At 37.2% G+C, this 24,394-nt stretch overlaps 1 protein-coding gene across 50 annotated transcripts in view; it reads right to left on the bottom strand.

The window, feature by feature from the left end:
* Positions 1–24,394, bottom strand: part of BIRC6 (baculoviral IAP repeat containing 6) — a 261,856-nt gene that overhangs the window by 16,165 nt on the left and 221,297 nt on the right. For all 50 annotated transcript variants that reach the window (XM_006712055.4, XM_005264451.5, XM_047445167.1 and 47 more), the window contains 4 exons: positions 8,654–8,799; positions 7,570–7,680; positions 4,746–4,963; positions 2,814–2,975 (listed from right to left, as the gene is read on the bottom strand). In XM_006712055.4, coding sequence (XP_006712118.1) covers positions 2,814–2,975; positions 4,746–4,963; positions 7,570–7,680; positions 8,654–8,799 — 637 coding nt within the window. The remainder of the gene's footprint in view (positions 1–2,813; positions 2,976–4,745; positions 4,964–7,569; positions 7,681–8,653; positions 8,800–24,394) is intronic.

Here is a 24,394-nt window from a genome sequence, read left to right as displayed (position 1 = left end):
ATTAGCACATAGTTGTACATATTTATGGGGTATAGTGTGGTATTTCAATATGTGTATACAATGTGTAATGATCAAAATAGGGTAATTATTGTATCCACCGCCTCAAACCTTTGAGTGTTGGTAACATTCAACATCCTCTCTTCTAGCTGTTTGACAAAATACAATTTTTATTTACTACAGTCACCCTACTGTGCTATACAACAACAGAACCTATTCCTCCTATCTAGTTGTAATTGTGTATCCATTAACCAACCTCTCCCTATTCCCTCCTCTCTACCTTTCCCTCCCAGCTTTAGTACCACTATTCTACTCTCTACGTTGATTGAGATCAATTTTTTTAGCTTCTACGTGAGTGAGAACATGCAATATTTATCTTCCAATGTTTGATGTATTTCACTTAACATAATGTCCCACCAGGCTCATCTATGTTGCTATGAAAGAAAGGATCTCATCCTTCTCATGGCTGAATAGTATTCCACTGTGTATAACCAAGTTTTCTTTATCCATTCACCTGTTGATGGCCGCTAAGTTGATTCTGTATCTTGGCTATTCTGTATGGTGCTGCAATAAACAGCAGTGCAAATATCTCTTCGAGATTCTGATTTATTTCCCTTGGATATATATTCAATAGTGGGACTGATAGATCATATGCTAGTTCTATTTTTACTAAAATAACTATTTTTAATAAAAGTGGTACTATTTTATATTTTTGTGTATTTCTTTCTAAATTCTGAAAATGCAAAATAGCTTAACAGAAGAGACCTTGATTTAATTATCTGCCTCTACATTCAACTAGTTGCAATATACTCCTTTGATTCAAGTATATGGATCAAATCTAGCCTCACGCAAACAGACCCCCTAAAAGAGTATTCAGGCTTCCCAGGGTTCCTCAAAATATACTTAAAGATAACATTAGATACTTACTCACTTAGCAGGAAGAGAACTGGGGACACTTAATCTGCACCTGTAACTACTCTTGTAATAAAAACAAAACTGGGCCAATCACATGTGTTCTTCTGGCATATATTCTATCAACATAAAATATACTCATCAGATTTTGTACACTTTTAATAATTTAATAATTTTATATAATGGCCAACAGATTTGGATAATAGGTGGTTCTTTTTTTTTTTAGACAGAATTTCGCTCCTGTAGCCCAGGCTGGAGTGCAATGGCACAATCTGGGCTCACCGCAACCTCCGCCTCCCGGGTTCAAGCACTTCTCCTGCCTCAGCCTCCCAAGTAGCTGGGATTACAGGCATGTGCCACCACGCCCAGCTAATTTTGTATTTTTAGTAGAGACGGGGTTTCTCCATGTTGGTCAGGCTGGTCTAAAACTCCCGACCTCAGGTGATCCACCCGCCTCAGCCTCCCAAAGTGCTGGGATTATAGGCATGAGCCACCACGCCCGGCGTAGGTGGTTCTCGTAAATGCAGAAAGGTCTGTCTCCTTACTACTCTTTCAATGCTCTGTGAAAGCAAGAACGCAAAATACGTTAATTCATTCAACAGGTAGTTGATTAATAATTTAATGAGTTGTATCTGTGAAGTCTTGTGTATTATTCAAAGTGCTGTCATACATATACCATTTGACCTTTAGTGCAAGCTTGTGCAACCCGCAGGCCACATGCGGCCCAGGATGGCTTTGAATGCAGCCCAAAACAAAATCGTAAAGTTTTTAAAAATATTATGAGATTTTTTTGCTATTTTTCTTTAAAGTTCATTAGCTATATTGTTTGTGTTAGCGAATTTTTGTGTGGCCCAAGACAATTATTCTTCTTCCAAAGTGGCCCAGGGAAGCCAAAACATTGGACAGCCCTGCTTTAGAGCATTCTTGGGACTAACAATGGCAGATATGTAGCCTCATACCTATCTGTAGATATAGGACCTAAGATTAAATGCTAACAGTGTGTAAACTTTAAAAATAAGTCCACAATTGTGTGTATCAAGGAACACATCGGTAAGTATGATGGTAAAAGACCATTAATTTAAGATTCCCAAGCCCTTACCCTCTTCTCTATGCAACGAAGCCTTGAGAATTATTTTCTTAAATACATCTTAATATTTTACACTTACACTCTATTCAAGTTCCAGTGTCTCAAGTAAAGTCAATGTTGCTATTTCCTCTTCCCTACTCAGCTACAGAAAACCTGTTCTTTGTTCTTCCAAAGAAAGTTCTGCCTCTGGTCAAATCTTTTGCAACAAACCCAAAAAACTAATTCTAGTTTTATGATTTGAGCTAATGATAATTTGCAACCACATATCTGCCACATATCTGAGGCAGGCTGTACCTTTTGAAATTCTTCTCTTCTAGATTTTAAAACATTGAATACTCAGCACAGAATTTACCATTGAAATTCTATCAAAGTATCCAAAATACCTCTGAAAAACAGATTACTCTTTTAAATCTAATTTTAAAAGGTTTATGGTCATATGAGATGATTTTTATTATGTCTTTTGGTCAGCTTTTTTGTAAATGGAAATGCATCTTCCTACTTTTAATATAAGAAAATGTAAAAACACTTGAATATAAGGTACACCTTAAAATAAGTTCCTAATAGCATGTATCATAGAACTTTACGTTAAGTCCCCGAGTAACTTCTTAAGACTGTAAGTGCTTCTTAATTAACACTTAACTGTTTCTGCTCTTTTCAGTTCCTTCTATTGCTTAAGCTAATCTGGACGTAGGGAAGAGAAGTACAAAGAAACCCATGCCCTCTTAGCAGATAACTAAAACAAAATTTTTCTTCAAATTACAAAGAACCTTTGTATACAATCATTGGCATTTGAAACAAAAAATTGCAATTAATTTACCTTGCCATCATTATAAAGGTTTGGATTGAATCGCACGCTATGACCACCAGTTGTCTCTAGATTCACAAGAGGGGGTGAACTGGGATAATCTTGAGGAAAATACACATCAAACTCAAAGCAGCCATTTGCATAAGGGGTGTCCGCTGGACCAGTTATTAGAACCTGGATATATATAAACATACAAAAGTCTATGTTAACATTCCTAAACACTGATATTTAGAAAAATACAATCCAACATGAAATAAGAACAACCTTCGTTTTTGGAGATGGAGTCCCACTCTGTCGCCCAGGCTGGAGTGCAGTGGCGCAATCTCGGCTCACTGCAACCTCCGCTTCCTGAGTTCAAGCAATTCTCCTGCCTCAGCCTCCTGAATAGCTGGGAACACACGTGCCTGCCAACATGCCCGGTTAATTTTTGTATTTTTAGTAGAGACCAGTTCCCCATGTTGTCCAGGCTGGTCTCAAACTCCTAGCCTCAAGTGATCCGCTTGCATAGGCCTCCCTAAGCACTGGGATTACGGGCTTGAGCCACTGTGCCTGGCCAAAATAAGAACAGCTTTTTTTTTTTTTTTTTAAGACAGTCTCACTTGGTGGCCCAGGCTGGAGTCCAATGGTGTGATCTCGGCTCATTGCAACCTCCACTTCCTGGGTTCAAGAAATTCTCCTGCCTCAGCCTCCCGAGTAGCTGAGATTACAGGCATGCACCACCATGCCTGGCTAATTTTTGTATTTTTAGTAGAGATGAGGTTTCACCACATCAGCCAGGCTGTTCTTGAACTCCTGATCTCAACTGATCTGCCTACCTTGGCCTCCCAAAATGCCAGGATTACAGGCATGAGCCAGCATACCAGGCCTTTTTTTTTTTTTTTTTTTTTTTTTGAGATGGAGTTTCACTCCACCGCCCAGGCTGCAGTGCAGTGGCGAGATCTCAGCTCACTGCAACCTCCACCTTCCAGGTTCAAGCAATTCCCCAGACACAGCCTGCCAAGTACTGGGATTATAGGTGCCTGCCACCACAGCCAGCCAATTTTTGTATTTTTAGTAGAGACGGGGTTTCACCATGTTGGCCAGGCTGGTCTGGAACTCTTGACCTCAAGTGATCTGCCTACCTCAGCCTCCCAAAGTGCTGGGATTACAGGCATGAGCCTATCCAAAAAATCAAAAGAAGCAAGCAAACAAATAAAACTTTCTACAAGTCAATGGGCCAATAGTTTTAGCTGCGTATCTATGGAAGACAGAATGTTTAACCCATGAATTAAATCATAAATATAAAGAAAGTTTTCTTTTTCGGGTTAAATGTTTAACATTTTCTTGATGCAGCAGACTCTTGGAATTTAAGGCCAGATTATCACGTGTTAAACATAAAAGTAGAGATTATATATTATTGTATTACCTATAATTCACAGATGTTAGGAATTTAAAAAAAACATAAATTTCCTAGAAAAGACAGAAAATGACTAAGTTTTGAAGAGTGACACTAAAAAACATGAGAGAAGTATCTTGGATGACAAAATGGAAATCCTGTAACATTTTTTAACTGATCAGCATTAAATCCTTTGATATTGTGACCAGCTTCACACAATCTTTGCTCAAGGATGATGGCTCTTTTGATATTTTCTAAATGTTTTTTTCAACAGCAGCGTGATCCACACACTCTGAACTAACATTAGAAAAGGGCTCTTTGTGGAGGCTGCAGTGAGCTGTGATCACATCACTGTACTCCAGCTTGGGCAAAAGTGAGATCCTGTCGCCAAAAAAAAAAGGGGGGGAGGGGTGGGGAGGCTCCTTTCACTGCCGTCTAAAAATGGTCACCAAAATTTCTAGTGTTTTGTATAATTTATTTGTATAGTATTTCCAGTTTTGTATAAAAATTTGAGTAATTAGATGAGCCAAGGAGATAAGGGAGAGTGCTTTATTATCATTATTTTTTACCTTCATGATATCAAGTCGCTCCTCATCACAGCGTACAAACACACTAGAGGATGAAGACAGAGGCAGTGAGGTTGAAAGCGTCACAGCTTCCTGGGCAAGGCGGCGAGCTCTGGCAGCACTGTTCGCATCATTAGCATTTTTCACCTGAGACATGTAGTGGTAATTTACTTTAAATCCCAATTTCCCATCTTCATCTTCAGAAACCATTTCAAACGTATCTAAAAGGAGAAGAAAAAATAAAACCCAGAACTGCAAAAAATTGTTATAATGACAAAAATCACAAACAATCACTAGTCCTTCTCCCACTCAACTGGAGAGAACTTCCAACCATGGAAGAATAGCAAAAGTGTAAATGTTTACATAACACCTATATATTAGCACTGCCAGATGGATTAGCACTGCCAGATGGATGGACTCTTGTCTTTCACATGCTATAGGGATACATTTTCTTTAACTTTTATAAAAAACAATCTAACAGATGCAAGAAATGGGCCCATTACTATGCCCAGTGGGAAAATTTTATATCATATAGAGGACAGGGTCTATTAACTCAAAGATTTCATTAAATAAATGATTCAATCAAAGACAATGGCTACTTGATAAAACATGCACAGCCTGTTTTAATCAATCATTTCTCTTCTGTTAATTCATCCTACAGAATTAATCCTGGATATGCACAAATATTTACAGGTAATGAAAGCCACTGAGATGTTGCATATGATATTTAAATACTGGAAACAAACTAAAGTTCCACTTACTGGTTAAACAAATGGCAGCCAATCATATTATGGAATTTTAGGCAGTTAGTAAGTATCAAGTTGTAAAAGAATGATACTAGAAAATGTTTGATACATATGGTTGAAAATGCAGTTTCTTATGAAAGCATCAACTGAAAACTTGCATGTTTTCAGACTTATTTTGAAAGCCAATGGGGAGCAAACTTGATTATGTTTAAAGTCACATACTTGGAGAGTTTATGATTTTATGTAGTATGAGAGAACTCTTCTAGCTAGCTAACATTAATGAAGGGGTCTGGACATATGATTCTAAATTTCTGACAGGTAGTAACTTTAAACCAGAATCTCTCACACATAAGGATCCATAAACACATTCATATACATGAAATGACTTTCTGGATTGAAAGAACTAGTTAAAGAATTTGTAGATATGAAATATGACTAAACGCCTTCAAGTACAAGAACACTGCCATGTATTTTTAAAAGCCATTAGCTGACATATTTTTGATGACCCAGGAAGCGGAACGAAATCTAAAGCCCAATAAAATATTTATGTCCAACAGAAACACACATACACAAACATATGTCTGGAAACTCTTTTCTGACACTCTTCCCCTCCCCTTGAGTGTTGGCTGGACTTAGTGAGTGATGCTGTACACTTTCTAAGACAAGGTCATAACAGGCACTATGGCTTTTTCTGAATTCCTGACCCATGTAAAGAGTGAGATAATAAAGGTCATGATTTTTTTTTTTTTTTTTTTTTGAGATGGAGACTTGCTCTGTCGCCCAGACTGGAGTGTCTCAGCTCACTGCAACCTCCACCTCCCGGGTTCAAATGATTCTCCTGCCTCAGCTTCCTGAGTAGCTGGGGTTACAGGCGCCTGCCACCATGCCCAGCTAATTTTTGTATTTTTAATAGAGATGGAGTTACACCATGTTGGCCATGCTGGTCTCAAACTCCCGACCTCGTGACCGCCCACCTCGGCCTCCTAAAGTGCTGGATTACAGGCGTGAGCCACCATGCCCGGCCAGGTCAGTTTTTTAAAGCAAATAAGTTACAGGGGTAATTTATGTGACAATATATAATATAGAACTATTTGATAAAATAAGCCATAAAAAACCTTGGTAATTGCTAATTAAATTCATATAAATGAAATAAAGTATTTGGTTTTAGTACTTTAATACACAAAGGAATTTTCAATAAAATAATAAATTCAATAAAATATTTATTATTTAAAAACCAAGTTAATATTATTACTTAGAGTGAAGTTAACAGACTAGATTGCCAAGCTGAGTCAGGCAAAAGGCTGTAATATCATTAGACACTGACCAAAACTCTTAACAAAAGTATAAATCACTTTCATATATATTATCTCTTGTGCTCTTTATGGCAAACCTGAAAGTAAGTAGAGCAAAAGCTAAATGATTTATAATGAGGTTTCAAAGACAATATGACAAAAATCTGTTTTCTGAATCCTACTTTAGCATTTAAAAAAATACAGTCCAAGATTTTTAGGTTGTTTCTCAAGGATGAAAAAGCAGCATAGACAATAATAGTTAATAATGGTCATCAAAATTTGGTATGTGTTTTCTCATAAATCAGAACCATATAAAGGGTACTGATATAATCTTTTTGCCAGTTCTTACTTGTCAAGAGTTTTGGAATGGGAAAAGCTAGAACTGAACTATGTATAACTACATTTTCTAAAGGTGAATTGCAAGGAAATCTAAAATGGCAAGAGTAACAGACTTAGTTCAAAGTTCTGGGTCTTGGCTTCCTTCAGGCCAGGATGTACAGAAATGAAGAGGTAAATAAGGAAAAACATTTTCTGCCTGTTTTGTAGACACTTGGCTTGGATTTATTTTTTCTAGGCTCTTACAGTCCTTCTATTGAAGTCACAGTTTATAACTAAAAATACAGACATAAATTCAAGAGGCAAAGATGATAAAAAATGTTGATATGTATGAAGTAAAATTCATGTTACAAGCAATTTTAAAAATCTTTAATTTGCTAAAACACATTTCAATAGCACTGTTAAAAAAAAATGGAAAGTGAGATCTTAAGCAAATCAAAAATTTCATCTTACCAAACTGTAATTTCTTCATAACAGCCACATATTTTTCTTCAAGTGACTTTAATACTGACAAAGGTTTGGGTTTCATAGCCGCCTTCTTGGAGTATTCACCCAGTTTTTTTTCTGTTATTTAATATTTCAAGATAAATAACATATACATTTTAAGTATATATTTTAAAAAATAAAACTAAAAAGAATTCACCTCTAGAGTTCAAATTGTGAATTCCAAAAAATTGTCAACTTCTTCACAATTATCTTATTACAACCGCTCTGAGAATAAAAAATTTCTATTTCATAAACATAACAATAACATAAACATAACAATAAAGCAAAAACATAATCATCTTTATGAAAAGAGGAAGTGAAACAATAGATAATTCAGATCACTTTCTTCAGCTAACATAGGAAAATATCTATCCATCCGTCCATCCATCCATCCATCCATCCATCCATCTATCTGGAAACAGAGTATTACTCTGTCTCCCAGGCTTGGAGTACAGTGGTGCAATTACAGCTAATTGCAACCTCAACTTCCCAGGCTCAGGTAATTCTCCCACTTCAGCCTTCCAGGTAGCCGGGACCACAGGCACACGCCATTATGCCCACCTAATGTTTCCTGTATTTCGTAGAGACGGGGTTTCACCATGTTGCCCAAGCTGATCTTGAACTCCTGAGCTCAAGTGATCTATCCATTTAGTCCTCCCAAAGTGCTGGGGGGGTTAAAGGCGTGAGTCACTGCGCCAGCCAGAGATATCAATTTAAACTAAATTCTCACCCATAGTCTTAATGTACTATTTTCTATCTAATATAAAGGCATTTTTTCAATTTCATGAATTTCAGGGGGAAGAAATATTTATAATGTATGTTCTCAGCCTACTAAATTTAGCAATCATATATAGTAGAAATGTTTAAAAATTAGACTATACATGATTGAAATCAGATAAAGAACAAAATCTAACAGAGAACAAAATTTTTAGGTAAATGAACTTGCTTTAAAATCATTAACATAAAGCAAAAACACAAAGGCAGGTTTCAGTAAGTAAATGAAACATCTTTACATCAAATGAAAAGTGGCATAATAGGAAAAGTTTTGTACCCTGATTTGCTTGCCGCAAACTGGTGGTGGCTGCATAAACTATCTCAGCAGTCTTTTGGATGTCTGGTACCAAAAGAGTAAGTCCTTCTGGTTCTTGATCAGACGCATCTGGTTTTACTCCTGTTTTAACATTTTCCCTTTTAGATCTGAATTTTTTTAATATGGAAAGAAAAGCAAGGAAAATTAAGATTTTAGGACTAAAACACCTCCATAAATCAATATACAAATGAGTGTGTGCATTTCATTTGTCACACACATGATCTATATTAACTTGCTTTTGAAGCCACTGGCTAGTAAAGTTATGGGTAGGTTTTCCCTTCTAATATAAAATCAGAGAAGAGACAGACATTATATAAATGTCATACTGTAAAAGATCCAGATACCTGATGTCCTCAGAGACACACTTTTAAAAACACACATAATTATAAATATTCAGAGACAGAAATCACTTCTACACCTAAAATATTTGAGAATTAAAGGACCACAAGCAGTTTTTAAATTTTAATACTATTTGTATTTCACTCAGAATTAAATTTCCAAGAAAAAAAAACATATTTTAGAGTAAAATGTAGGTTCATTACTGGGTGTCTTAATACAATGTGTTTCTATACATTGGATCTTTTAATGAGACACTAAGTTTTAGGGCATATTCATTTTAAAGATATTATTCTGTTATTTCCTATCAGGATCTAAAATGTACCCAATTTCATTTCACATTGTTATCACAATAGGATGTATTACAGCAAGGTTTAAGTATATAGGACATTACATTTTTATTTAAATTTTCTAGATAAATGTACTAGTAGTTTAATACAAGAGTCACTGAAAACACAACTAAACATTATTTCCTTTTCTCTATTCCAACTCTCAGCACATTATTGACATCACAAACATCTTTACACTACTGCTTAGAATTTCAAAAATCTACATCTTTATAATTCTTTAAATAGATCATTTGAAACAAACTAAAATCGTATATAAATAAAAGTGTTTAAAATATTTATGCTAAGGTATGATCTAAACTATACATCACTTATTTTTTTAGTTGTATACCTACCTAAAAAGGGACTTGGTCATTACATTAAAATACTATCTCGCAAAGTGGTCATGGAGCCTTAGAGAACTATAAAAAGAGTAACAGACAGTAGAAGAATCCTTAACAAATAGGCTGGGCATGGTGGCTCATGCCTGTAATCCCAGCACTTTGGGAGGCTGAGGCGGGTGGAACACCTGAGGTTGGGAGTTCGAGACCACCCTGAACAACATGGAGAAACCCCATCTCTACTAAAAATGCAAAATTAGCTGGACATGGTGGCGCATGCCTGTAATCCCAGCTACTGGGGAGGCTGAGGCAGGAGAATCACTTGAACCTGGGAGGCGGAGGTTGCAGTGAGCCGAGATCACGTCATTACACTCCAGCCTGGGCAACAAGAGTGAAACCCCATCTCCCAGAAAAAAAAAAAAAGAATCCTTAACAAATAATACTATGTCATCTACATACAAATGAACCTTTCCTTGTCACAAAAACAAAAATCTGCTCAGAAGCTATTCAATCCTTAACTCAAGGTAGATAAACAGTAAACTCAGAAGCCACTCAAGTGGGTAGGAAGAATAAATGAAAATAGTATCATGCATGTGTTTTGAATTTGGTTCCTACAATGTGTAAACAAAAACTAGTTTCTACAGATATCTTTAACTAGAAGGTAAAAACTTATGTCACCTGACTTAACTGAAGAGGTATAATATGTCACTGAATGGCTGCCTTTTTTCCTGTGCTCTCTTCTTATCTTCCCTGAGTTATAAGAAGTCAGAGAACACATGGCCACTTTCCTTTACCACTCAGGAAATGACTTGGCAGATGTTATACTGTACACCATTTCAGTCATCAACTGTCGTCTATGTACATGTATCTGAATATATGTTTTTGCATATATAAGGAGAGTATAGTGTACGTCTGAAGACTGAAATATCAGAGAATTTTACTGCTCGAGTCAACTACTATACTGTGTCTTTTACAGCTATGAAATTAAGGTGAGACTGTAGTTTAACAGTGAGTCACTTCTTAATAAAGACATGATTCTGGTAGAGTAACTCAAACAGATTACCAACTTCTGCATTTGTCAATAGCTAATAACAATCAGTGTCAAACACTGAGAATGAAGAGAAGTGCATAAGCTGCTTGACAGTACCCACTTTGAATTTACAAAGACTCTTACTCCCCAGTTGTAAATGATTCTCTATTACCAGGTCTTGACAAATTATTAAGTAACAGGGCCACTGAATAAGAAAACAACAGTAACTTGTTTCAGAAAGCAGTTATGATTACAGCCATAATAAAATATAGTTTCCTAAGCCTATAATCAATGAGTTAACCCACTGTACTCTCAATAAAGATTTCACTTAAAGAAACATATCTTGCAGAGAAGGAAGATATGAAAGTGAAGCTCTTTTTCCAGAAAGGTTATTTTCTCTTTGATGAAACAAGAATCTTTAGCATGGAGCATGAACTGCATCAATCCAGTTTAGGTCTTTATTGTATTTACCACCCCAGTGTGTAGATTACCCTTGGAACTACTGATTCTAAATCTCAAGCTCTATTCATGCCAATTTCCTAAATCCACTTTTAAAAAGAAGATTAGTAAGAGATTATTAAAATAGTACACAAGGTTAGGATGATAAATTTTATTTTTTTACCATAATTAAGAAAAAGTAAAAGAAAAATAATTGTGCAAGAATCCTCAGAAGTTTAAAAAAATTCTTTACATCAAATGTGTGAAAGAAATGATATATATTTCATATTGAAGACAATGGTTGAATCATAAAGCAGATATATATTAGACCTTTGACCAGGTTCTAATGAGAAATCTTTACTTGAATAGTCTGACAAAAACACACCGAAAAAAAGAAAATCTCTAAATGGTGAGAATACTTTGAATATATGAAGAACACACACTACCTGCCTATCAATGATTCTAACTAGTCATTGTCTGACATTAAACTATAGCCAGTAGTCTCTTTTCTATAAAAGTTGCAGGTTACTGTCAACCCATATGTAGGCCCAGCTCATGAAAAAAGGCCATACCTTAGCTCACATCCTGAAGTCTGTGTGAAAAGCTATTTGAGTTCAAGGCACCTAGCTGGAAGTAGGTCTTTGAGACTGACAATGGATCCAACATGGTAAAAGCAATCAGCGACGGCCGCTACCATGGTATCCGCTGCTTTGTGCATACGTTGAATCTGGTTGTGATCACTGCCCTGAAGAAATACGAGGAAGCAACTGAAGTTTCCACTATTGCACAGAATTATCTGCAAACATTTTCCACTATGCTGTGAATTCCAACTAAATAGCTAATTAGTTAAACAAATTTTGGCTCTGTGACACATATCTGAAGTAGGATGTGAGCAAAATGGGCAAATCTTTCTCCTGAAAACAAAACAAAAAAGCAAACCCATACCTCAACATTCAATTATATTGAACTGCCTCTACCAGTATCTACCGCCCAAATAAAGTTGAGTATTAGTAAGACTAAATACACCATGTCAGAATTATGGTATTTTATAATCCAAAAACTGAAAACAGCTTAATACAGCTATTTCCTTGATAAAACAAGACCCCTTTAACCCTTTGCACTCCTAAATCTAAGCTAAACATACTGCAAAGTTGCAATAAACATTTAAAAAAGGAGAGCCATTTGAAGAAGTTATCTGGAGACTACATGCTGAAATGTAGATTCACAACTATTAAGAATTAGCACTGCAGAAGAAGATTCTAAAACTATAAGAGAATGAAACTTCTACATTTACCAAAAAGCACTGATCACACTGTGCTCCTCAGTTCTAAAGCTCTTTGACAGTAATTATAGTTTAGATTAGAGGTAAACTGAAAGAGTAAATAAAAATATTACTGTGGGAAACTGCTTCTAGTATCTCCAGGATGCACAAAAATAATTCTTGAAATGCACCAGTAAACGGGCGAAGATCTCCGTACTATAAATGTTTTCTGTGATTAATTTAAAGCTTAGTTTTTAACTCTATGATCCCCTTTTGTTTTTACTTAATCTCTAAGTGGAAGTACCAGTTTAATTTTGAATGATTTAAATGAATGTTGAAAGAAAAATATTTTGGTAGCATAAGTGAGCATGAAAGAAGGGAATACTTAAAATAGTTATAAGAAGCCTTTAAAAATAAAACCTTGATTTCTATACTAGACACAAATATACTAATTTTTAGGCCAAATTAAACATCACCAGACATACGGAAGGTACTGCATGCTACTGTTAAATAGAGTTGCCACAAATAATATGTTTCAGCAGTTTACCAGGGGACAACCCAACTGAGCCAGTCAAAGAAGAGATGTTAAAATAAATATTTGCCTATCTGTGTGAAAAAAGACTGACAAACAACTGAACTTGTTTACCACCATCAAAAACAGGAATGTTTAAAGAAATATATGGGTATAACAAATGCTATCTGGCTAAGAAATCAGGACTTTTTCATTTTTAGGTATAAGAAGCAGAGGTAAAAGAGTGTTTTTCAACAGAAATCAAAGTAGGAGGGCTGGAACTGAAATTTTTTTTAACTAAAGTGCTAGAAGATCCAGCTTATGGGGGTTAAAATAAAAGAGTCTGGTAGAAAATATGCCTTGAAAGATGTAAATCAAGTGATCTCCCATTGCTTAGGTATATAAAAAGGAAGTGGGGTACTTGTACAAGTGACTTCAGTTATTTAAAACTATGATGAACAACTTTCCATTAGGAAGAAACTTTGAGATAGCTAGGAAAAACGGCAATAAAAGATGCTTGCTTCAATGCTGTTCAAAGAGAAGTTAAATATCCAGAACACTTTACACTGAACATAGAGTCATTTGTGTCATGCCCTGGCAGCAAATAAGATTTTTTTATTCACAATAAGTTTCTCTCTCAAATTTTTGGTGAAACCATCAAATACCAACTACACTAAATACGATTTTTGCTTATTGGAGTACAGCAGAAAAAGTCTGCACAAAAGATCAGATATAAAAAAAAGGCTTTGTTCCTGCTTGAAGGAAGCTATGAAATACCATATTTATTCAAAAGTAAAACTACTATGGCTATATTTTAATTTCATCTTAAGATAATACCAGCTGGAATGACCAGCAGGAGATAAATTTCACCAGAACTAACTTGTAAATGCTAAAGGGTCCCATCTTCACAGAGTGACTATTTTGTGGGTAACAGAATGAATTTTCACAATAGATAATAATATTTAAATTCAAGTAAAAACAATATGTATGTACAGATTTAAAGTATTATGTTATCCACGCCAGAAATCCCTTTATTAGTGGAGGTAACTGAGAGTTACTTTCAAGTTCTGTCTTTTCTAACAGTCTAAAATAAAATGTTGAACAATACTCATAAATGGGGAGTGTTTTTGCTTACTCTTTAAATATCAAGTACTGCTGCATAAATCCTTTAACCATCTCTTCTTGACAAAGGAGCTAAAGATATTAGAAATATAGGGTACATTAAACCACAATAAAATGCAGGAAATGGAAAATAATACTGTGTGTGTGGGAGCAGGGGGCTTCTTTTGGTAATGCCATTTTATCACCAAGACATTGCCCTAATCTACGAAAGTGGATACCAAATCATCTTGAAAAGACAGTAGAAAAGTACATCCATCAATAATTAAGAAAATTTCAGAAAAATCTTATTTATTTATTTATTGAGACGGAGTTTCACTCTTGTTGTCCAGGCTGGAGTGCAATGGCAGATCTTGGCTCACTGCAACCTCCGCCTTCCAGGTTCCAGCAATTCTCCCACCTCAAGCCTCCTGAGTAGCTGAGATTACAGGCACCTACCACCACGCCTGGCTAGATTTTTGTATCTTTAGTAGAGATGGGGTTTCACCATGTTGGCCAGGCTGGTCTTGAACTCCTGACCTCATGTGATCCACCTGCCTCCCAAAGTGCTGGGATTACAGGCGTGAGCCACCACACCCAGCCTTATTAATTCTTATTCAGTTAATACTGCAAGAAAAACATCGACAGCTAAAGCTGACCTACTCTTCATAAAAGTGATTATAAAGTTGCTACCTGCTCATACTAGAGAGATAACCAAACACAATGAGTCTCAGTTTAGTTTGGTAATCTAGTAATTAGACGTGACTAGAATACTATGGATATTTAGTGAAATATGCTGCCCTTTAATCTCCTATCATAGGATATTACAAATTCTTCAGGGGAGTGAAAACACATGAGTAAAAGGAAAACAGTAAGAAAATTCTGTAAAATGCACATTATTCTATGTATTTTTTAAATTATCAAAAACAGGTTATTTTCTTCTCTTTTTATTTTTCTGAGATAGATTCTCGCTCTGTCGCACAGGATGGAGTGCAGTGGCGTGATCTCGGCTCACTGCAACCTTCACCTCCCAGGTTCAAGCGATTCTCATGCCTCAGCCTCCTGAGTAGCTAGGATTACAGGTGCACACCACCACGCCTGGCTAATTTTTGTATTATTAGTAGAGACAGGGTTTTGCCTTGTTGCCCAGGCTAGTCTCAAGTGATCCACCTGCCTTGGCCTGCCAAAGCACTGGAATTACAGGCATGAACCGCCACACTTAGCCCAAAAGCAGATTTTTTTCAACTAAAAATATTTTACTTCATTGCCATCATTTAAAAATAATTTTTTTTTTGAGACGGAGTCTCGTTCTGTTGCCCAGGTTGGAGGGCAGTGGCGAAATCTCGGCTTACTGTAACCTCCACCTCCCGGGTTCAAATGATTCTCCTGCCTCAGCCTCCCGAGTAGCTGGGACTACAGGCGCGCACCATCATTCCCAGCTAATTTTTGTATTTTTAGTAAAGACAATGTTTCACCATGTTGGCTAGGCTGGTCTTGATCTCCTGACCTCATGATCTGTGTGCCACAGCCTCCCAAAGTGCTGGGATTACAGGCGTAAGCCACAATGTCCGGCCCCTTAAAAATAATTCTTAAATATCCTAAATATTAGAACCAGCTCAGAAGCTCCATGCTCTGATTTTTAATTAATCATTTACACACAAACCTAATTATTATTTGGGAGTGAAGTTTAATTTAGCAGATAAATGTTTTGAGACATTAGGAGGTATGAGTTCTTATCATAGCTATGTCACTAACCATCAGAGAACTGAGAACAAATAACAGTCTGTATGAACTTTGTTTTTCTCATTTATAAAAAGGTGGAATTTGAACTACCCGAATGCTAAAATCTATAGATAATATGAACAAGTTACTAAATGTAATGTGCCCAGAAAGACCTGCTACGAAGTAAATTTTACTTAGCAACAGACTTCAAATTCAGTAATTAAGACTGGTTGAGATTTTGGCCGGGTGTAGTGGCTCACATTTGTAATCCCAGGACTTCAGGAGGCTGAGGCAGGTGGATTGCTTGAGCTCAGGAGTTCAAGACCAGCCTGGGCAGCAAGGGGAAACCCCATCTCTACTATAAACACAAAAATTCGCCGGGAGTGGTGGTGTACGCCTGTAGTCCCAGCTACTTGGGTCAAGGTGGGAGGATCGCTCTGGGTGGTGGAGGTTGCAGTGAGCCGATATAGTGCCACATAGCCTGGGTGACAGAGTTTAACCCTGTCTCAAAAAAAAAAAAAAAAAAAAAAAAAAAGGACTGCTTGAGATTTTGTCTGAGATAATACAGTGAAAACTGTCGTGAAACATAAAGCTCATATAATGCCATTTGATAAAGAATAAAGTGATCATTTTATACTAATATGTTATGCTTCTGAGGCAGAAACACTAAGTCAATTTATAATTTTTTTTTAAGTTGTTTTTTTTTTTAAATCACTTAAGTAACAGAGTAAGTTGTATTTAGGCATTTAATCAGTGTTTTCCAACAACCAATTAAGGCTTAAATTTAGCCATTATACAAGCGTGAATCCTAATGATCAATGAACTATTTGGGTAGTGGGTAGTAGTGGTATATAAAAATAGAAGTAGCTAGACTATGGGTCAATCAAACTATCTTTCTTCATCAATACTGTTTTCCATGATGAACATCAACAGTATCAGAAGGCTTAGAAGCTAAATCTCAGCTTTATTACCTATTACTAAGTTTGTAATGTAACATTCTAAGCAACAGATTCATTTTCTATCAAATAAGAATAGTACATACTTTCTTGCCCACTACATAGAGCAGAAAAATCAATATATACCTAAGCAATTCAGAAACTATAAATCCTACATAAAAGTTAGGACTGTATTATTAACTCCTTATATTCTTATATAACTATACGCAACTATGTATTTATTACAATGCATGCTTGATTTAGGGCAGATTGGCTTATTTTCAAGAAACAAGAAGAGAAAAAAATGAAAGCACAGAGGCTGGAAAAGAAATACTGTACTAATCGGCTGGGCACGGTGGCTCACACCTGTAATCCCAGCACTTTGGGAGGCCAAGGTGGGTGGATCACCTGAGGTCAGGAGTTCACGAATAGCCTGGCCAACATGGCAAAATCCTGTCTCTACAAAATATACAAAAATTAGCCGGGTGTGGTGGCACGCGCCTGTAGTCCCAGCTACTCAGGAGGCTGAGGCAGAAGAATCACTTGAACCTGGGAGGCGGAGGTTGCAGTGAGCCAAGATCACGCCACAGCACTCTAGACTGGGTGACAGAGTGAGACTTTGTCTCAAAAAAAAAAAAACAAAAGAACCAAATATTGTACTAATCAAAATTTAATTGGTAGAACAAAAGGAATGCATGAAATAATTTTGTTTTGTATCTGCCTAAGTCGTCAATCAGAACATTTCTAAAATTGATTTTCACCAAATTTTGAGTCCTCACAATCGGTATGGAATGAGGCTTGGAGTCTGTGCATCAATAAACATCTTTTCACAGGTTGTCTTTGGCCCGTGTGCAACATTGCTTGCACCTGATATATACCCTTTGCTACTTTTCAAGTCTCTTTTTCTGTCTTGGTCCTTAGGAAACTATTTCCTCCCACTCTTTATAGGCCTAAACCCCAAAAATATTACATACAAAAATGACTAAATTATAAAACTAAAGAAGTAAGCCAGAATCTAAGGCTTTGGGGATAGAATTAATGATAATCTGGTATATTTTTTTCTGCCAGAAAGAAAGGGGTTTCAATCACAAAGCGATTGAATATTGCCAGCCTAAGGGCATCTAAAAAAATAAAACGTTTATGGTTACAGGAATTTTCAAACACTAGCCCAGGGAATGGATCTCACCTAGAGTGCAAGTCCTTGATGGGTGAATACTAAGTTTTTTTCTTCTGCCTAATATGATAGTAGGCAAGTAGAGGAAATAAGCCTCTTAAACAATTCCTCTGAAATAAAATAAAGAACTACTTAACATTATACAGGCAAATAAATTAAAAAGAACCAATATTTAGGGTTTAATCAACCATTTTCATTCAAACTATTATTAAAAATAATTTTAATTGAACAAGAAAAACATACAATGCCAGCATCCTGATATGCTCCACTTTTTATTGTTTAGGTTTTAAAAAACTTTTATTTATTTATTTATTTTTGAGACGGAGTATCATTCTGTAGCCCAGGCTGGAGTGCAATGGCACTATCTTGGCTCACTACAACCTCCGCCTCCCCGGTTGAAGCGATTCTCTTGCCTCAGCCTCCCAAGCAGCTGGGATTACACCCACTGTGCGCCACCACACGCAGCTAATTTTTGTATTTTCAGTAGAGATGGGGTTTCACCATGTTGGCCAGGCTGGTCTTGAACTAATGACCTCAGTTAATTTGTCTGCCTTGGCCTCCCGAAGGGCTGGGATTAAAGGTGAGAGCCACTGCACCCAGCCAAAAAAATTTTTTTAAATTTAAATATTATTTTAAAGAAGAGAGATGGGGGTCTCGTTATATTACCCAGGCTTGTCTTAAACTCCTGGGCTCAAGTAATCCTCTCACCTCAACCTCCCAACATGCTGGGATTACAGGTGTAAGCCACCGCACCCAGCCTATTCTTTAGGTTTTAAGTGACAGATGATATTAGAAGAATGGTCTAAGTGAAATTTACAGGCCGGGCAAGGTGGCTCATGCCTGTAATGCCAGCACTTTGGGAGGCCAAGATGGGCAGATCGCCTGAGGTCAGGAGTTCGTGAACAGCCTGGCCAACATGGCGAACCTCCGTCTCTACAAAAATACAAAAAAATTAGCCGGGCGTGGTGGCGGGAGCCTGTAGTTCCAGTTACTTGGGAGGCTGAGGTAGAAAAATCACTTGAACCCAGGAGGTGGAGGCTGCAGTGAGCCAAGATTATGTCACTGCACTCCAGCCTGGGCGACAGAGTGAGAGACTGTCTCAGGGGGAAAAAAAATTACAATACGTTTTAGCATTATAGGTATAGGTAAAGTACACATTCAAAATGCTATTAAACTAATGTACCAAATGTCACATATATTCCTTAAAAAAACACCTTTAATTTCTGAAGAAAATCCTGAGAATACTTAACTCTAACCTTGTCTTCTAGTTCAAAAAATGCAAAGTGTTGAATGTAAAATCTCTATTTTGACATAAAATACTGGCCTAATCTTTTGTTCCTCCAGAAGGAATGCTATCTCAGAAATGGCCTTAATTCAAATTCTGGTTATTAGTAAACCAGCCAACATCAATATTCATCAGTTTATCTGTGTTAACTTTTACACTTAACACCATGCAGTTATTACAAATCACGACTCTTGAAAGGGGGTATTAGGAAAGATAGTAAATTACAGAAACACAGAGCCCTGAACCAAAAAATATTAAAACATCATCTTTATGAAGCTCTTAAAACAATCTGTACAGTGAATACCCAACAACTGCCTAAAGAATTGTCAACTTTCAAAACACAGACTAAATCACCATTAAACACCCCTAGCTGCCACCTTACAGTGTCAATAGGTTACTCTAACAGGTAAGTCAGAAAAGATGAAATTAACTAAAAAGTACACTCATTCCTTGAGCAGTGCGCTAGTTTACACTAAATATCAATCCCATCAGAGTACTGTAATTATCATGCACCAAACTGTAAGAGATTAATCACTTAGTATTAAGGTGTAATTGAGGACAACTTAAAACACGGCTTAAAGTCTACTGTTTCAAAAATAAAAATTCAGAGGCTACTTTTCAGATATATGTATGTATGTATATTAGAGATATTATATATAATTATGTACCTGATACATTACTATATATAATAGTGAAAACTCTATAATAAGAGAACTACAAGACATAAAAGAAAATCCCACAGTGTTAATCCTGAGTTCCTTCTTTAAGCAGTCATTCTAGTTTTTTTGTTTGTTTGTTTGTTTGTTTTTGAGACAGAGTCTTGCTCTATCCCACAGGCTAGAGTGCACTAGTGGGATCTTGGCTCACCGCAACCTCTGCCTCCTGGGTTCAAGTGATTCTCCTGCCTCGGTAGCTGGGATTACGGGTGCGTGCCACCACACGCAGCTAATTGTTTTGTATTTTTAACAGAGACGGGTTTCGCCATGTTGACCAGGCTAGTCTTGAACTCTTGACCTCAGGTGATCCACCTGCCTCGGCCTCTCAAAGTGCTGGGATTAGAGGCGTGAGCCACCACGCCCAGCTAAGCAGTCATTCTTACCAAAACCTTTGGATGAACAGAAAGTTCAGTGATATGGCTGCAATATTGGTTCTACCTACTCTACTCCACAGCACACCACCTAAAAGGAGTACAGTGTACAAGGCAACTCAACTAATATATCAGGGTTTTACTTACCATGTTGCCCAGGCTGGTCTTGAACTCCTGGGCTCAAGCAATCATCCTCCCACCTTGGCCTCCCAAAGTGCTGGGATTATACACAAGAGCCACCATATCCAGCCCAGCTTCCTTTTAAAAATTCAATGATACATCCAAGAGCTGGCTGTTTTTACATCTAAATTATAGATCAGGCCGGGCGCGGTGGCTCACACCTGTAATCCCAACACTTTGGGAGGCGGAGGGGGGCAGATCACTTGAGGTCAGGAGTTCAAGACCAGCTTGGCCAACACGGTGAAACCCCCTCTCTACTAAAAATACAAAAATTAGCCAGGTGTGGTGGTAAGGGCCTCTAATCCCAGCTACTGGGGAGGCTGAGGAGAATTGCTTGAACCCAGGAGGCGGAACTTGCAGTGAGCCAAGATCGCACCACTGCTCTCCATCCTGGGTGACAGAGTAAGACTCCGTCTCAAAATAAATAAATACATAAAATAAAATATAGATCACTTTTCTTTTCCATTGTTGCACAATTTTACATGTATGAATATTCTGTAGTATAAACAATCCTCCTTTTGATGGACATGCATTTATTTTTCCAGTGTTTCATTTAACAAACAAAATCTGAATGATTATTCCCGATTGTACTGCTTTGCACACATGGTCTAATATATTTCAAGGATTAATAAGTAAACACTATTTTATTCACAGTAAATGGTTCACTCATGTTTACACTGTCTCCTATTTATGGCAAATGATAATGGTCCATCCGCTATGGGGGTAATTTGAAGTTTCCTCTTTAAAAGCCTAAGAAAAACTTGTTTAATTTTTTAAGTTGATCTGAAGAAAAATTCTAAGTAGAAAAAAAAGGCAAAGAAAAATTTAAGTAAACAGTAGCATAGGTGGTATAACATCTAAAAGTTCTTCCTCACAAATGCCAAGGTTCTGCATTCTAACAAAGAATTTCTACCAAGAAAATTTCCTTCAGTTTTCAATCAAGAAAACTGACTTATTTAATAAAATTAATAATATCTCACCATCATATGAGTTCTCTTTTAGATTTGGGTAGATAGGACACAAAATTTAATGTTGTATAAGTGTTCCATGTCTACAACTTTAGCTGGGTGACAGCTTTAAGCAAACAGTAGAGGAACAGGAAGACATGAACATGTATGGAGTCTCACCCTGCCATTCCAGGACCTTAATACAAAAGATTTAAGATGCTTTTTGACTTAACGACTTAGCTTCTATCAATCGACGGATCATAGCTTTCTGCCTGAGTCCGTCAAATAACCAAGTAATAGGATTAGTGTTGGAAAATTTCTGCCTAACATTGTAGACGTCGGATTCGTATATGAGAACAAAGGAAGCCATGTTCCCAGATCCATTTATGCTATGGCACTTGTACTCTATTGAAGGAGATCCCTAGAGATAAATCTGCAGTTGCCAATATGAACACAGATTGCTTTTTAAGACAAATATCTGGAGCATGGAATATATTTCTACCTGGAAACTAACTATCTATTAAGTCCATAATATGAGAGCAAGAGTGCTGATGAGTACCAAAATCTCAGTCCCCCAAAACAGTAGGACAGGGAGAAGACATATACAGCTCTATCTGCTGAGACAAAACAGATGAAAGTCTCTTCCATGGTAGTTTGGTCTTGTTCCAACTTCCCCTCCAACCATTCAACTACACCTGAAGACCATCTTTCTATAATGCAAACCTGATGAGAGCTGCTGAAAACCTTTCAGTGGCTCAACATTACTTTTAAGGTAAGTAACTCTGTGATATATTCCTGTTTATCTTCTAGCCCCTGATTTCCTCTCCAGGCTCATCTCCCACCACTACCTTCCAGCTACACTATGCTCAGGCACACCAAACTTTTCAAGGTCCCCTGAATATGTGATGCTTTCCTTCACTGCTAACATTGTTTTCATACCCTTGGGACACCAATCCCTTGCCCCTCTTCATTTGTACTCTATTCTTGGTTAATTCCTATGTATCCTTTAGGCCTCCAAATCTGGATTGATTTTCCTGTAGTGTCTTGAATTCTACTAATATGTCAGATACTATGTTGTTACAACTGCCAGGTTGGCCCAGCGCAGTGGCTCACACCTGTATGTACTCCCAGAACTTTGGGAGGCTGAGGCGGGCGGATTACCTGAGGTCAGGAGTTTGTGACCAGCCTGGCCAACATGGTGAAACCCCGTCTCTACTAAAAATACAAAAATTAGCTGGGCGTGGTGACACACGCCTGTAATCCCAGCTACTCGGGAGGCTGAAGCAAGAGAATTGCTTGAAACCAGGAGACGGAGGTTGCAGTGAGCCGAGATCAAGCCACTGCACTCCAGCCTGGCCGAGAGAGCGAGACTCTGTCCAAAAAAAAAAAAAAAAACCTGCCTGGTTATTATTTCCCCCATTTATATGTCAGCCCCTTAGAAAGAAGACCAATTTTCTAGTTATGTGCCCACAGACATTAAAAAAAAAATCTGTTAAGTGAATGCATCAGTAATGATTTTGTGACCAGGCCAGATCTCACCTATCAGTGTTAATCATGAATTTCTTATAATCATGAATATGTTACAAATTAGATAAATGTAAGGTAAATGATAAGCCTTTCCAGCTTTCTTTTTTATTTTCTTTATTTTTGTTCTTACACATGCAGAGTGGGTCTCACTCTGTCGCCCAGGATAGAATGCAGTGGTAAAATCATAGCTCACTGTAACCTCAAAATCCTAGTCTCAAGCGATCCTCCCACCTCAACCTCCTGAGCAGCTAGGACTACAGGTGCAGCCCACGATATTGACTAATTTATTTTTATGTTTTGTAGAGACAGGGTCTCCCTATGTTGCCAAGGCTGGTCTTGAACTCCCGGCTTCAAGTGATCGTCCCACCTAAGCCTCCCAAAGTGCTGGCACTGGGATCCAGATTCTTAATGATGTCTTTTTATCTCCTCTTGTAAGGGTTTTGGGCTTGGGGGCGCACAAACCTATGGAATCTCCTCCATTCTCTGAATTATCAGATCAAAATTAATTGGGTTTAGGCAGTGGCCTCAGGATAGATTTCAAGATAGACAGGATATTCTCAGCAGTCACAGTTAACATCCTCTTTACACTTGACCTTTTTCTTTAATTTCTCTCATCCCCAAAAGGAAGGTAAAAATTCTATTACAAATACAACATACACATCATTTCAATGAAAATCATTATATGCAACCACAATCACTACCTAGAGATCTGCAGAATACACAATGAATCTATTTTCTTTATCTAATATATATATATTAGGTATACATATATATATTAGGTATACATATATATATTAGGTATATATATATTAGGTATATATATATATTAAGTGTATATATATATTAGGTATATAAAAATAAGTAGTAAACTACGATTTCTCTTACTTAAAAAAAGAACCATACCAAATACATGTACTTTATTCACCCTTGGATTTCACAGTAATAGAGACAGAAATATTGTAAAATGTTTCTGAGTGTGTGATACATAGTATGTATGTATGTATGTATGTATGTATGTATTTTTTGAGACAGAGTTTCCCTCTGTTGCCCAGACTGGAGTGTAATGGAGTGTGATGGTGTGATCACTGCAACCCCCACCTCCCAGGCTCAAGTGATTCTCGTGCCTCAGCCTCCCAAGTTCCTGGGATTACAGGTATGTGCCACCACACCCAGCTGAATTTTTGTATTTTTAGTAGAGATGGGTTTTGCTATGTTGGACAGGCTGGTCTAGAACTCCTGGCCTCAAGTGATCAGCCCAAGTCAGCCTATCAAAGTGCTGGGATTACAGCCGTGAGCCACTGCACCCGGCCGTGATACACAGCATTTTTAAAGTTACAGCTCCAAACCCTCAAAAAACACTAAAATAGACCCTGAAAGTGATACATTAACAGAACACATTTTCCTGAATCATTCTCTTCTCAGAGTATTCTAGGATTTTTGTGAAATACAGTTGGGAATGAGGCAGACAGGTGGGGTGGGGAGCTTTGAGTCAGTGTTAAAATTA

This window comes from Homo sapiens, chromosome 2, assembly GCF_000001405.40.
Source record: "Homo sapiens chromosome 2, GRCh38.p14 Primary Assembly".
Taxonomy (NCBI): domain Eukaryota; kingdom Metazoa; phylum Chordata; class Mammalia; order Primates; family Hominidae; genus Homo; species Homo sapiens.
The sequence above is the reverse complement of the archived record's forward strand: the minus strand, read 5'-3'. Positions and strand labels throughout refer to the sequence as shown.